The sequence below is a fragment of the Homo sapiens genome, chromosome 1 (genome assembly GCF_000001405.40).
Source record: "Homo sapiens chromosome 1, GRCh38.p14 Primary Assembly".
In the NCBI taxonomy this organism is placed as follows: domain Eukaryota; kingdom Metazoa; phylum Chordata; class Mammalia; order Primates; family Hominidae; genus Homo; species Homo sapiens.
The window spans coordinates 37,728,082-37,743,366 of NC_000001.11; the positions used below are offsets into that span (position 1 = coordinate 37,728,082).

Below are 15,285 nucleotides of genomic sequence, written 5' to 3' on the forward strand. Positions count from 1 at the left end.
CTTCACAAAAAAAGGTGCCATCTGAACTGGACCTGGAGACTGGAAGGATTTTTGATGGTGCTTTGATGCACACACTGGGTCTGAAAATGGCAAGTCGTCCCCTGTGTCTGGGAAACAGACTGCATGAAGGCGGAGAGTGGCAAATAGGAAGCTGGAGGGTGGGAAGATGGAGGGAACTGGGGGAGCCAGAACCTGGAGGGCCTTGAACGCTAAGCTAAGGAGTATAAACTTTCTCCTGTGGGTGACAGGGAGCAGTGGAGAGAGTTCCTGCCTAAGAAGAAAAGGAATGAGGGTGTCTGCTGAGGTGGGAGTGAGGATGGAGAAGAGGTGCTTGAGAGAGGTGAAGGTTTGGCATAACTATTAGGAATGGGAAAAGTACTAAGTGGCCCTGAAGACTGAACTGAGATTGGAAAGTACACCTCTTTAGGCAGCTTCCGCGTGGGACACAGGGAGGAGAAAGGTCCAAGTCTGGGGACTAGCAGGTGGGTGCAGCAAGGTGCCCAGGGAATGAGGGTTGGCAGAGTTGGGGAGTATTTCTGATGAGATCATCTGCAGGGGCTGGATAGAGATGGGTGTGGGGCCAGGAGGAGCTAAAAGTCTGGGAGATGAGGTAGGATCCAGTGAGCAGTCTTTCGGATGTCACAGAGCAAGTGAGGAGGAACAGAAGACGAGAGTTAGAAGCCAAAAATGCTAGAGTCAGAGAGGGCATTTCAGAGCCCAGGGTTCCAGAGGCAAAGAGGGCTGAGGGTCTGGGTGGGGATAGAGGGGAATAGAGTTGCCAAGAACTGTTTGAAATGAGGCAACCATGTGGACACAGAAACGGAGAAAGATGCCAGCAGTGGGCAGTCTCTGAGATGGCATCCCTACCTCCTGGTATCCATTCCCCATGAGCACAGGCTGGACTCATTTCTAATGAACAGAATATGGCAAGAGTATTGGGATGTCATTCCCAAGATCAGGAAACAAGATGAATGGCTTCTGTCTTGGGTGCCCTCTCCCTGGCTCACAGTCTCTGGAAGAATCCAGTGGTTGTGGTGAGCAGCTCTAAGGAGAGGCCCATGGGACAAGGAACAGCATGCCTCAGCAGCAGCCAGCAAGACCCTGAGCAGGGAGGTGAACTCTCCCCCAGCTAAGCCCCGAGATGATCACAGCCCCTGAGGACAACTTGACGGCAGCCTTGGAAGAGACCCTAAGTCACTGGCACCTAGCTGAGAGGCACCTATATTACCAATCCATGGAAACATAAGATTATAAATATTTGTTGTTTTCACCTGCTAGATGTTGGGGCAACTCATTACATAGCAATAGGTAACTAGCACAGTGGTGACGCATAAGCGTTCACCAAGACCTTGATTTGGGGCTGGGCATGGTGGCTCACACCTGTAATCCTAACACTTTGGGAGGCCAAGACAGGAGAATTGCTTTGAGCCCAGGAGTTCGAGACCAGCCTGAGCAACATAGCAAGATTCCATCGCTCTTTTTAAAAAAAGAAAAAAGAAAAAGATCCTGCTTTGGAAGGCGGGGGGCAGTGGCTCAAACCTGTGATCCCAGCACTTTGGCAGGCCGAGTGGAGGGATCACCTGAGCCCAGGAGTTCGAAACCAGCCTGAGCAACATAGTGAGACCCCCAAAAAGTAAAAATATTAGCTGGTCATGGTGGCAAGCGCCTGTGGTCTCAGCTACTTGGGAAGCTGAGGTGGGAGGACCACTTAAGCCTGGAAAGTTGAGGCTGCAGGGAGCTGTGATTGTGCCACTACACTCCAGCCTGGGTGACACAGTAAGACCCTACCTCAAAAAAAAAAAAAAATCTCAATTTGGAGACACAGCTCATGGGAAACCACACTCTGCAGATTGGGAGAACCATAGCCAGGGCCACAAGAAGGGAGACTGGGGATCTCAGCAGTCTCTACTATCTGAGAGGTACCCAATGAATGGAGACCATCAGCCCTTCTCCACTGACGGTCCCCAGCTCCTGCCCCCACTACGCCCACTCCAGCCAAACCTGCCCGCCTTTGTTCAGATAGCTTCCTCTCCCCAGAATGCCTCCCTGCCCATCTGTACACATTCAAATGATCCCCAGCTATAATCTTCTCTTTCCAGCACCTGGCCGAGGTCTGACACTTTTTGCATTCAGGCGAGAAGTGTGGTCTTCCTTCCCAGAACTCAGACCCCTTCAGCATTTTATCTTCACTTCCCTTTGGACTCAGAGCTCTTCCTATCTTGGATTAGAGTCATGTAGCAGGTTGGAAAGAATTATTATCTTGACAGCTGGTGCCAGAATGCCTCTTAGGGGGAACTGCCTTTGTTCAGGAAAATATTTTCATGAGCTGCTCAGGGCAGATAGAGGTGAGATCCTGAGGACCAGGTTAGCAGCAGGCAAAGCAACAAGACAGCTAAACTGCTGTGCACACATCAGGGAATTGGGCAGTGGGTGGGGAGAAGAGGAACCAGGGGAGGGAAGTAAAGGAGGAGGGAGGAAAGCACAATATTGCGGAGAAGCCGGAGATGTTTTCAGATGAGGATATTCAATTTCCAGTTTTTGTTTGGTTTTGGTAACAGCTTTATTGAGATATCGTTCGCATACCATGTGATTTACCCACTTAAGTTACACAATCCTTCTTTTTTTTTTGAGACAGAGTCTCACTCTGTGACCTAGGCTGGAACGTAGTGGCATAATCTTGGCTCACTGCAACCTCTGCCTCCCGGTTTTAAGTGATTCTTGTGCCTCAGCCTCCCGAGTAGCTGGGATTACAGGTGCCCGCCACCACGCCCGGCTGATTTTTGTATTTTTAGTAGAGAAGGAGTTTCACCATGTTGGCCAGGCTGGTCTCGAACTCCTGACCTCAGGTGATCCACCTGCCTCAGCCTCCCAAAGTGCTGGGATTACAGGTGTGAGCCATCGCGCCTGGCCGCAATCCTTATTTTTGTGTTTATCACTGCAATGCAACCCCTTCATGTCCATCAACCTTCAGTGAAGTCAGCATCACGCTCTAAGGCCTAGTGGGGAAAGGGACAGTGTCCCATGTTTGGGTCTCTATCCAAACTGAGTCTCTATCCAGCTGAGACATGGGTTATAGCTGTTCACAAATCCCTCTCCTGTGAGCTCCTCCAGGACAGTTTCCCAATCTAATTCACGTCGGTGAACAGGCATTAGTCAGTGGATTTCAAAGTCATTAATTAATTAGGCTGTAATTAATTAAACTGTTCTGCAGGCTCCCTTCATTGCACAGATAACTCCAGATAACTCTCCCCCTCTATTTGTCTCCCTACCTCAGCCCCGTGCAGGGTTCTCTCTGTCTAGGTCCCTGTCCACTCACACACACTACTTACCCTCCCCCAGGGTCTGTACTTCAATGCTGGGGTTAAAACTCTGGGCCTCCCAGGATGGCCCCGGGGAAGCGGCCCGGATCTGAAAGACGTAGCGGGTAGCCGGCTTCAGGTTGGTGACGGTGACTGTGGGCGCCCCTGTCTTCACCATGGAGTAAGTCTGCTCACTCTGACCCTGGAGAGAGATCAAGAAGTGAAGCCCACCAGCGCCAGATCCACTGTTCTAGGAGAACAAAGGGTGAACAGGAACAGGGAGGCAGGAGAAGCGCCCTTACGTGAATGTGGGCTGAGTGCGAAAACCCAACCTCAATCATCTTGGGGTTTCCCAGGGATCTTTTCCTTGGATCCTTAGCCCCTGTCTTCACCACAAGCACCCACCCACACTCGGTGGCACTTGTAGCTGAGAATAGCACCACCTCTGCATAAGAGAAATTTTAGAGAAGACACCAGATCCTCCTTCCGGGGGATGATAGGATGAGGGCCACCAGGGCCTGTCCATCCAGGCTAAGCTGAGCCAGTGCCCTAGGCAGGCCTGAAGCCTCAAAGGACAGAATGAGAGAATGAGCCCTGACACATGAAAGCCCCCAATGGCCCACAAGGCTTTTCCTTTCCTCGATGTCTGATTTTTCACAACTGTCCTGCAAGGCTCAGAGGACAGAAAGTATTATCTTGTTTGTTTGTTTCACAGATAAGGAAACCCAGTTCAGAGGGGTAAAGACTCCCCCAAGGCCCCAGCTGGAGCCATCACTGATGAGCGCCTACTCAGTGCCAGCTTCTGCATGAGACCCTTTGCCTCCTGTGAGCCTCACAACAGCCCTGTGGAGTCAGCATTTCCATCTCCTTTTTAGGTGAGGTTCACATCAAGGAAGGGGCTGGTGCACCCTCTGAATCCCTGCAGAGCCCGTGTTTTTTGCTCGACATCATGCTGCCCCCCGCTCCACCCCAACACACCTGACAATGGCATACTAGAGATGCTCCTCCCGTCGTTTCGTCCCTGCCCACACCTTATTAGAGGCCCTGCCATATCCACAGCCCCAGAAAGTTATTCTCCCCACTGATATTCGGTGGCTCCAGCTTTCTGACCATAGCATTCAGGAACTGGGACGGACTTTGACCCAAGCTGGGCCAATCAGAATCTCTCTTCCAGGCATCTCAACAATCCATTGAAAGACAGAGAAGCAGTGGCTTCAGGACCCACAAGGTAGGGCAGGCTAGGGGCAGAGAGGAGGAAGGAGCAAGGCTGCCTACCTGGGCATTGGCAACGTGCCGTAAGCAAGCCCCTCTGCATCATGGGCTGGACTGGTGTGCAGAGAGAGGTTGAGATGAGCAGCACTGTGGCTCCAGAGGGGAGCTGCCAGACACCCGCCCAGGTCCAGTGGCCCAGCAAGGCTTCTACTCAGCAGGCTCCATGAGAGTACACTGAAGCCTTTCAAATATAGCCCTTTTATACTTGTTCTTTTTTTTTTTTTTTTTTTTTTTTTTTTTTTTTTTTTTTTTTTTGAGGCAGAGTCTTGCTGTGTCACCTAGGCTGGAATGCAGTGTGGTGCAATCTCGGCTCACTGCAACCTCCACCTCCTGGGTTCAAGCAATTCTCCCTGCCTCAGCCTCCTGAGTAGCTGGGATTACAGGCACCCACCACCATGTCTGGCTAATTTTTGTTTTTTTAATAGAGACTGGGTTTCGCCATGTTAGCCAGGCTGGTCTCGAACTCCTGACCTCAGGTGATCCACCTGCCTTGGCCTCTCGAAGTGCTGGGATTACAGGCGTGCACCACCACGCCCGGACTTGTTCCTTCTTTTTTGTTGTTTTTGGGGGTTTTGGTGGGTTTTTTTGAGACAGGGTCTCGCTCTGTTGCCCAGGCTGGAGTGCAGTGGTGCAACCACTGCTCACTGCAGCCTCGACTTCCCGGGCTCAAGCGATCTTCCTGCTTCAGCATCCCAAGTTGCTGGGACCACAGGCGCACACCACCATGCCTGGCTAATTTCTTTTTTGTAGAGGTGGCGGTCTCACTTTGTTGCCCAGGCTGGTCTTGAACTCCTGGCCTCAAGCCGTCCTCCCGTCTCAGCTTCCCAAAGTGCTGGAATCACAGGTGGTAGCCACTGAGCCTGGCCCTTGCTCCTCTTTTTGAGGGTTTTCATGCCCAACAACCTGGGAGCATCCACCCAGCTCAACCTTGGGGCTCTTGTCTATACCCTGATCCTCAAAGTCCATTCAGTGAGTCCTTTCTAAGCACCTGCTTCCCAGTGTCCTTTGCTGCTCTCCCTAAACATCAGCATTCCTCAGGGCTCTGTCCTGGCCACTCTTCTCAGACACATTCCCCTTCTCATTCCTCTCCCCCAATTTCTCCCCTGGCAGCAGCTACTGTCTCTATGCTGAGAGCCCCCAACACTCTCACTCTCTCTCTCTCTCTTTCTCTCCCTTTCCAAGCCAGGCCTCTCCCTTAAGCTTCAGACCTGCAAGTCTACCTGGGTGTCCCAGAGGCCCCCTGAATGCTAGATGAGCAAAACCAGGTTCATCACCTTGCTCCAAGCCTGCCCTTCCACCTCAGTGCTTCTCCATCTCAGTCAGTGGTACCTCAGACTCTGGGTTACCCAGGTCAGACACCCAGCAGTGACTCAGGACTCTCTCCTCCTTCCCACTCATCCCCAACACTCACAGGTCTCAACAGACTTCCAGTATTCAAAAACTATTTTCAGCAAAGGAGTCCCTCATGTCATTGAGGAGTGAGTGAAGTTCTGACACATGTAGAAGCTGAAAGAGGTTTCACTTCAGTGAATATAATTTGCACCAAGGTGAGAAACAGTTTAACAGTAGTTTGCATATCAGATTTAAAGATAATAAATTGGCCAGGTGCAGTGGCTCACACCAGTAATCCCAGCACTTTGGGAGGCTAAGGCGGGTGGATCACCTGAGGTCAGGAGATATAGACCAGCCTGGCCAACACGATGAAACCTCGTCTCTACTAAAAATACAAAAATGAGCTGTGTGTAGTTGTGCATGCCTGTAATCCCAGCTACTTGGGAGGCTGAAGCAGGAGAATCACTTGAACCTGGGAGACGGAGGTTGCAGTGAGCCGAGATCATGTCACTGCACTCCAGCCTGGGTGACAAGAATGAAACTCTGTCTCAAAATAAATAAATAAATAAATAAATAATAAAGGTAATAAACTTACGGGGAAAAGAGCAGATTGGGATGTGACTCCATTTGTTACATCACAGCTAAGCTGCAACCACAGATTGACAATGGATACAAGAGGTCAGCAAAAATCAGCACAAGTATCCTATGGGGATCAATTGGCCATATGGAGTTCACAATCAAGAGTTCTGAACATATTTTATTATCACTGTAAATGCTGTGCTACACTTTTTTATATGACTGGAATTATAATAACTCATACATTTATTGTTCTGGAAAGCTGGCTGTTAAATATCTACCAGCACACCACCACACCCAGCAATGTGCTCCATGGTCAGGCACTTTTGTAAAATTAGAAATGATATGATCTTTCTGTGTCCTTTTTCTTTAAAAGGGCTCTACAAATGATACGTATAAGATTCAGCCACACAAAATCTGGACCGGGCCCCAGAGAAAGCTCTTTGTCAACCGAAACACTAGGTGACATGGGGACAATGGAGATGGTTGGTGTTGGAGATAGACCTGAGCGGAGGGAGGAAGAGCAGGAGTCCGGGGGAGGAGGGGGAGACTCGAGCCTGGGGCCCCTAGGAGACGGGTGGTTATGTTTACAAAGGGAGTAACGAGGGCTTTTGCTGGGAGGATGGCCTGAAGAACCAGAAGCCCTGCGGGACAGGTGCGGGGCAGGCTCCAGGTCCCTCCCAGACACGCACTCACCTTCTCGTAGTATCGGATCTCGTACTCCGTGTCATTGGCCCCAGGGGCTCCGGCAGGGATGGGCTCCCGCCACGACAGGGACACGCTCTGGGGTTCCACTCGGTCCCTGCGGATCTCATCCTCCTCCCAGGGCGCTGAAAGTAAGTTACGTGGGATTCTCCACCTTGACCCACCTCACGGCAGGGCTGGGGGTGCGGGGAAGAGGGTGCGGCGTGCGGGGCTGTGGGACCGGACTAGAGAGGCCTGGGGCGTGGTCTAACGGGCTGTGGGCGGGGCTAGGGAACTGACTGAGAGGCATGGCCAAAGGAGAGGAGTCTGTGGGACCAGAGGAAAGAAGCACCTCTGCCCCCACAGCCCTTTTCTTCATTGTCCCATAGAGGGAAAAGCATTAGGCCTTCTGCTGCTTGCCCACCCCTTACAGCCCAGCTTCTCTCATGGTGGTCGGCTCTAATCCTCCAGGCTCTTTCTATACTTGCTGCAGCTTGGAGACATAAGAGAGCATTTAGAGGCAGAAGGACCTGCTTCTTAACGATTCCAATGGTCTGGTCAAGAGGTAATACACTCAACAAACTAGAAATAGAAGGAAATTATCCCAAAAGAATAAAGGCCATATATGAAAAGCCTACAGTGAGCATCATACCCAATGGTGAAAGACTGGAAGCCTTCCCTCCAACATCAGGAAAAAGGTAAGATGTCTGCTGTCATCACTTTTATTCATCATAATACCAGAAGTTCTAGCCAGAGCAGTTAGGCAAGAAAAAGAAATAAAAGGCATCCAAACTGGAAAAGAAGCAGGAAATTTATCTCTGTTTACAGATGACATGATCTTATATGTAGAAAACCCTAAAGATTCCACACACAAAATTGTTAGGCCAGGCGTGGTGGCTCACGCCTATAATCCCAGCACATTCGGAGGCTGAGGCAGGTGGTTCATGAGGTCAAGAGATCAAGACCAGCCGGGCAGGTGGATCACTTGACGTCAGGTCGAGGCAGGTGGACCACTTGAGGCCAGGAGTTCGAGACCAGCCTGATCAAATGGTGAAACCCTGTCTCTGCTAAAGAAATGCAAAATTAGCCAGGCATGGTGGTACATGCCTGTAATCCCAGCTACTTGGGAGGCTGAGGAAGAAGATCAGTTGAACCCGGGAGGTGGAGGTTGCAGTGAGCTGAGGTCGTGCCATTGCACTCCAGCCTGGGCAACAAAAGCAAAATTCTGTCTCAAAAAAAAAAAAAAAAAAAAAAAGAGATTGAGACCATCCTGGCCAACATGGTGAAACCCCGTCTCTACTAAAAATACAAAAATGAGTTGGGCATGGTGGTGCGCGCCTGTAGTCCCAGCTACTTGGGAGGCTGAGGCAGGGGAATCACTTGAACCTGGGAGGCAGAGGTTACAGTGAGCCGAGATCGCGCCACTGCACTCCAACCTGGGCAACAGAGCAAGACTCCATCTCAAAAAAATAAAATAAAATTTAGAATTAATAAACAAAATACAGCAAAGTTGCAAAATACAAAACCAATGCACAAAAATTTGTTGTGTTCTTATACACAATGAACAATTCAAAAAGGAAATTAGGAAAACAATCCCACTTACGATAGCATCAAAAATAATAAAATACTTAGACATAAACTTAACCAAAGGGATGAAAGACTTTTATACAGAAAACTATAAAATATTGCTGAAAGAAATGAAATAAAACACAAATAATTGGAAAGGCATCCTGTGTTCATGGAATAGAACACTTAATACTGTTAAAATGTCTCTACTACCAAAAGTGATCTACAGATTTAATGCAATCCTATCAAAATCCCAGGCATTTTTTGCAGAAATAGAAAAAACATCCTAAAATTCATATGGAATCTAAAAGGACCATGAATAGTCAACACAATCATGGGAAGGAAAAATAAAGGTGGGCCAGAGGCAGTGGCTCACACCTGTAATCCCAGCACTTTGAGAGGCCAAGGTGAGAGAATCACTTGAGGCCAGCATTTTGAGACCAGCCTGGGCAACACAGTGAGACTCCATCATTTACAAAAACCAACCAACAACAAAACCTACACACACACACACTCACACACAAAAGGTAGAGTCCTCACACTTCCTTACTTCAAAACATATTTCAAAGCTACAGTAATCAAAGCAATATGGTACAGACATATAGACCAATGAAACAGAATACAGAGCCCAGAAATAACTCCTCTCCATGTATGGTCAAATGATCTCCCACAAGGGTACCAAGGTTATGCTATGCAGAAAGGATAGTCTCTTCACCAAATGGCACTGAGAAAAGTGGATATCCACCTGCAAATGAATGAAGTTGGACCCTCACCTAAAATCATATGCAAAAAATGAACTCAAAGTGGATTAAAGACCTAAATGTAGGATCTGAAATGATAAAACTCCTAGAAGAAAACACAGGGGAAAAGATTCATGACACTGGATTCAGCAATGATTTCTTGGATATGACACCAAAAGCACAGGCAGCAAAAACGAAAATAGACAAATGAGACTACATCAAACTTTAAAACTTCTGCAGGGCAAAGGCAACAATAATCAGAGTGAAAAAGCAGTCTTTGAAATGGGAGAAAATGCTTGCTAACCATTTATCTAAGGGGTTAATATCCAGAATGTATAAAGAATGTCTAGAACTCAACAACAAAGACCAAATAACTGTAGGCTTTTTTTTTTTTTTTTTTTTTTTTTTTGCTATCAAGCGAGGCAGTGGGAGTGGAGATGAACAAAGAAATCTATAACTGGTTGTGATCAGTTAGTTGTAAACAATACTGCACTCAGACCAGCTTGAGTAGACATTTCTTCAAAAAAGATATATAGGCTGAGCGCGGTGGCTCTTGCCTGTAATCCCAGCACTTGGAGAGGCCGAGGGGGCAGATCACCTGAAGTCAAGAGATTGAGACCAGCCTGGCCAACATGGTGAAGCCCCGTCTGTACTAAAAATACAAAAGTTAGCTGGGCGTGGTGGCATGCATCTGTAATCCCAGCTACTCCAGAGGCTGAGGCACAAGAATTGTTTGAACCTGGGAGGCAGAGGTTGCAGTGAGCTGAGATCGCACCACTGCACTCCAGCGTGGGCAACAGAGTGAGACTCTGTCTCAAAAAAAAAGATATACAAAAGGCCAAGAAGCACATGAAAAGATGCTTAATATCATTAATCATCAGGGAAATCAAAATCAAAATCACAATGAGATATCACCTCACACCCTTTAGGATGACCACTACCAAAAATATGGGACATAACAAGTGTTGGCAAGGACATGAAAAAATTGGAACCCTTGTACACCATTGTGTAGGAATGTAAATTGGTGCAGCTGCTATGGAAAACAATATGGAGGTTCCTTAAAAAATTATAATTACTATATGATCCAGCAATCCTGTTTCTGGGCATATATCCAAAGGAACTGAAATCAGGTCTTGAAGAGATACTGCTCACCCATGTTCATTGCAGCATTATTCACAACAGCCAAGAGGTGGAAGCAACCTAAATGTCCATAAGTGGATAAATGGATAAAGAAAATATGGTGTATACTCCATGGAATACTATGCAGCCATAAAAAAAGGATGAGTTCATGTCCTTTGCAGGGACATGGATGAAGCTGGAAACCATCATTCTAAGCAAACTGTCACAAGGACAGAAAACCAAACACCGCATGTTCTCACTCATAGGTGGGAGTTTTACAATGAGATCACTTGGACACAGGGCAGGGAACATCACACACCGGGGCCTGTCGCGGGGTGGAGGGTAGGGGGAGGGATAGCAGTAGGAGAAATACCTAATGTAAACGACGAGTTGATGGGTGCAACAAACCAACATGGCACTTGTATACCTATGTAACAAACCTGCACGCTGTGTACATGTACCCTAGAACTTAAAGTATAATAATAAAAAAGAGTTAAAAAAAAGAAAAGAAAAAAGAATATATGGTGTAAACATACAACAGGATATTAGTCCTTAAAAAGAAGAAAATTCTGTTATATGCTACAATATGAATGAACCTCGAAGACACTATGCTAAGTGAAACAATTCGTCACAAAAAGACAAATACTGCATGATTCCACTTATGTGAGGTATCTAAAGTAGTCAAACTCTTTGAAACAGAAAGTAGAATAGTAGGCCAGGTGCAGTGACTCATGCTTATAATCTCAGTGACTCACACCTGTAAACCCAGTACACTTTGGTAGGCCAAGGCCAGTAGATCACTTGAGGCCAGGAATTCAAGACCAGCCTGGCTAATGTAGTGAAACCCTGTCTCTACTAAAATTACAGAAATTAACCAGGCCTGGTGGTGTGTGCCTATAATCTCAGCTACTTGGGAGGCTGAGGCAGGAGAATCACTTGAACCCAGGAAGTGGAGGTTGCAGTGAGCCAAGATTACACCAGTGCCCTCTAGCCTGGTTGATAGAGTGAGACCCTGTCTCAAAAAAAAAAAAAAAAAAAAAAAGGAAGTAGAATGGTAGTTGCCAGGGGAGGGTGGTGGGGGTAAAGGGGAGTTGTTGACTGGATACAGAATTTCAGCTTTGCAAGATGAAAAAGTTCTACACCCCAGGTATTGGAGTTCATGCCTGTAATCTCAGCACTTTGGGAGGGCCAGGGTGGGAGGATCGCTTGAGCCCAGGAGTTCAACACCAGCCTGGACAACAAAGTGAGACCCTGTCTCTACAAAAAATCAAACAATTAGCTGGGCATGGTGTCACACACCTGTGGTCCCAGACACGTGGGAGGCTGAGACAGGAGGCTTGCCCAAGACCAGAAGGTCAAGGCTGCCACTGCACTCCAGCCTAAGCAATACAGCAAGACCCAGTCTCAAAAAAAATAAATAAATAAAAATAAAGGAAAAAAATTATATCCTTTGGACAACGTATCTAGTTAACATTACTGTACTATACATGTGAAATGGGTTAAGATGATACATTTTATGTGTTTTTTACAGTAAAAAAAATGTTGCCCAGGTCACAACCCAGAGCAAACAAATCATCATCTCTGTAGGCTGGAGCTCAGGGATTAGTTGCTTTTATTTTATTTTATTATTTATTTATTTATTTGTTTATTTTTTGAGACAGAGTCTCACTCTGTCACCCAGGCTGGAGAGCAGGGGCGGGATCTCGGCTCACTGCAAGCTCCACTTCCCAGGTTCACGCCATTCTCCTGCCTCAGCCTCCCGAGTAGCTGGGACTACAGGTGCCCGCCACCACGCCCAGCTAATTTTTTGTATTTTTAGTAGAGACGGGGTTTCACCATGTTAGCCAGGATGGTCTCCATCTCCTGACCTCATGATCCGCCCACCCCGGCCTCCCAAAGTGCTGGGATTACGGGCGTGAGCCACCGTGCCCAGCCAGTTGCTTTATTTTTTAAGTTTCTTGGTGATTCCAGCGTGCAGACAAGTTTGAGAACCGCCAGTCTGGATGATGTCAGATGAACAGCAGCATACACACACATACACACATATACGGGAGATAATAAGGCCTGGGGTTAGTGTTCGGCAAAGGGGTTTCCAAGAGAAGATGCCAGGAGGGCAGTGGGAGAAATGGTTCCAGGGCTCAGAAAAGGTGTCTGGGAGAAAAATGGAGATGCAGGAGCCATGATAAGGTGAAGGGATGAAACTGTCCAGGGAAAACGCATAAAAAGAGAAGAGGAAAAGCTTTTAGGGAATAAGCCTGAGACACGCCAACAATTAAGAAACAGGCAAAGGAAGAGAAGCTTGACAAGGAGGAGCCAGAGAGGCAGGAGGAAGACCAAGGGTGGGCAAGGTGATGGAAGCCCAGGGAAGAGAACATTTAGGAAGGTTCCCTCCTGACTTTTCCAGTGGTTAGCCCACTATTGGTCCACAAGCAAGTGATCTTACTCCCTGAGCCTCAGTTTCCCCGTGTGTAAAATGAGAACAATGATGACACCTCCTAGGCTTGCTGTGGGAATTTTATGAAGTAATGTGTTATGAGGGACTGAGCGAGTGCTCAGCACCAGCATTCCAGCAAGAGGAGCTGGCGCTGGGCCATGTCTTACGCTGAGAGGAGACAACAGAGTAAGATGATGATTCAAACTTCCCACTGGCTTTCATAAAGTGGACGTTCCCGGTGCCTTCAGGGGATTGAGGAAAGTACCGATCAGATAGTAATAAAGCAAGAAAGTGGAAACGGAGTAGGTGGCTCAGGCTCTGACAAGTGCGTGGATGTGGCTTCTAGTCTTAAATGGTATATATATCTAGCAGCCTCCACTCCATGTCTTTCCCAAATTCCAATTAAAACATAAAGACACAGTAAGAGTTGAAAACCTACACCATCACCATAAACTAGTCTTGACAGCTGATCGCCAGAATGGGGGCTGGAGAGTAGAGTGGCACATTTCTACTTATGATCAAGGCAGTGGGACTAGATCAAAAAGTGCAATTGTAATGAACCCCTAGGCTACACTGCCCACAGAGTGGCATTGCCTCCCATTCTAAAAATAACTCAAAAAAATCCTTTATTCCTCCCTTCAGTGTCTGACCCTTTAAAAAAAAAAAAAAGCCAAGTCTTTGTCAAGTGGACAATGCACAGCCAGCACTCTACTGCAGAGCTGCTTTCGAGGAAGAGTGCTCTTCCCTATCCCCCGGGGGCGCTTCTCAGCCAAAATTCACTTTGAGACGGCAGCTCCCAGAAAAGGCCTGAGCACAAAGGCGAGAGGAGTGATGAAGCATTCTAGGAGGTGGCAAAGTTCCTTGCGAATACAGATGGGGCAGAGATGGAAAAGGAGGCTAGAAATGTCCATTTTTGAGCTACATTTGTGGAAAGCATCAGATGGCCAGGATAGAGAGGTAGAAGATGGTTCCATCTCAGCTCCGAAGAGATAATTAGATGAAAGCCTGATAAATCCTGCTAGTGGAGCTAAAAACTAACACCAAGCACCGGCTCTCCAGCTGTAGATTTGGGATGGGAATCAGCCAGCACCCAAGTGGGGCCAAAGTTACAGCAGATAGTACTGGAAACCTAGTCAACAGCCTTGTCCCCCTTTCCTGCTAGCTGAGCTGAATTTTTGGTTCATAGTCTACTGTCTCCCCATAGGTGACTTGGGTAACTTCTGGCTGTTCTAAGACATTTGTGTGCACTCATTCCCTTTGCCAGTGAATGGTTTAGGGTTGGGCTTACAATCCAGTTCTGGCCAACAAAAGAAGTTAGCTGGGGACAGGGGATTCAGAGAAAAGTTTCTTGCTTTTAAAAAGATACCTGCAAGGAAGAAACAGTTCTTTTTCTGCCTCTGAATGGTAAGGATGTGATGTCTGGAGCTGCTGCAGCCACCTTGCTACCATGAGGGAACCAGCCTATGTGATGAGAATGGCAGAGTGGACAGACAGAAAAAACCTAGGTCCTTGAGGACACTTTTGAGCTGCTGAATGAACCAAGCTTTAACTCTAGCCCTCTTATGTGAGCTAAGAAATCATTTAAGTTAAAGTCAGTTAGGGCCCAGCACTGTGGCTCATGCCTATAATCCCAGAGCTTTGAGAGGCATAGATGGGGGTCTTGCTTGAGGCCAGGAGTTAGAGACCAGCCTGGGCAACATAGCAATACTCCGTCTCTACAAAACAATTTAAAAAGAAAAAAAAGTTAGCTAGGCATGTTGGCATGCCTGCAGTCCTAGCCACTTGGGAGGCTCAGGCGGGAGGATCACCTGACCCCAGGAATTTGAGGTTACAGTGAGCCTATGATCATGCCACTGCACTCCAGCCTGAGTGACAGAGTAAGACCTTGTCTCTAATAATAATAATATAATAATAATAATAAAATAAAATCAGTTAGACTGAGATTTATTGTTACTTGCAGCTGAAAACCTCATAACTAATTCAAAGGGCAATTCACGCATCTTTTTTGTTGTTGTTGACAAACACCAGCTATTTCCTTACTCAAGAACAAGTAAACAGAAAATACCAGAAATTGGGTATATGAAAAAATATTTCAGAATAAGAGAATAGGAACATTATTCTGAAGACTCAGGAGAAGTAGATCTTGAAAAGTGATTTAATATGATAGAGAGTAAGTAAAACGCTCTGGCACTTTAAGAAGAAAGAAAACACAGCCTCCACCAACTATGTACAGAAGGTCATAAGGAGAAAACAGGTGGAGAAG

At 47.2% G+C, this 15,285-nt stretch overlaps 1 protein-coding gene across 12 annotated transcripts in view, besides 1 other annotated feature; it reads right to left on the reverse strand.

The window, feature by feature from the left end:
• Positions 1–15,285, reverse strand: part of EPHA10 (EPH receptor A10) — a 51,241-nt gene that overhangs the window by 14,202 nt on the left and 21,754 nt on the right. For 11 of the 12 annotated variants that reach the window (XR_946610.2, XR_001737124.2, XR_946613.3 and 8 more), the window contains 2 exons: positions 7,176–7,309; positions 3,330–3,501 (listed from right to left, as the gene is read on the reverse strand). Coding sequence is in view for 5 of the 12 variants with exons in the window: in XM_017001080.1 (XP_016856569.1) it covers positions 3,330–3,501; positions 7,176–7,309 (306 nt within the window). In the remaining 7 variants the exon portion in view is untranslated. Of the gene's footprint in view, positions 1–3,329; positions 3,502–6,498; positions 6,670–7,175; positions 7,310–15,285 lie in introns of those variants that run through there. The other variant, XR_001737125.3, reaches the window with a different exon arrangement.
• Positions 7,272–7,771: an enhancer, noted in NCBI's record as "H3K4me1 hESC enhancer chr1:38201025-38201524 (GRCh37/hg19 assembly coordinates)". NCBI's record gives its function as "activates a minimal SCP1, AML or CMV promoter by ChIP-STARR-seq in primed H9 embryonic stem cells {active_cell/tissue: H9 hESC(primed)}" and the evidence as "EXISTENCE:reporter gene assay evidence [ECO:0000049][PMID:30033119]".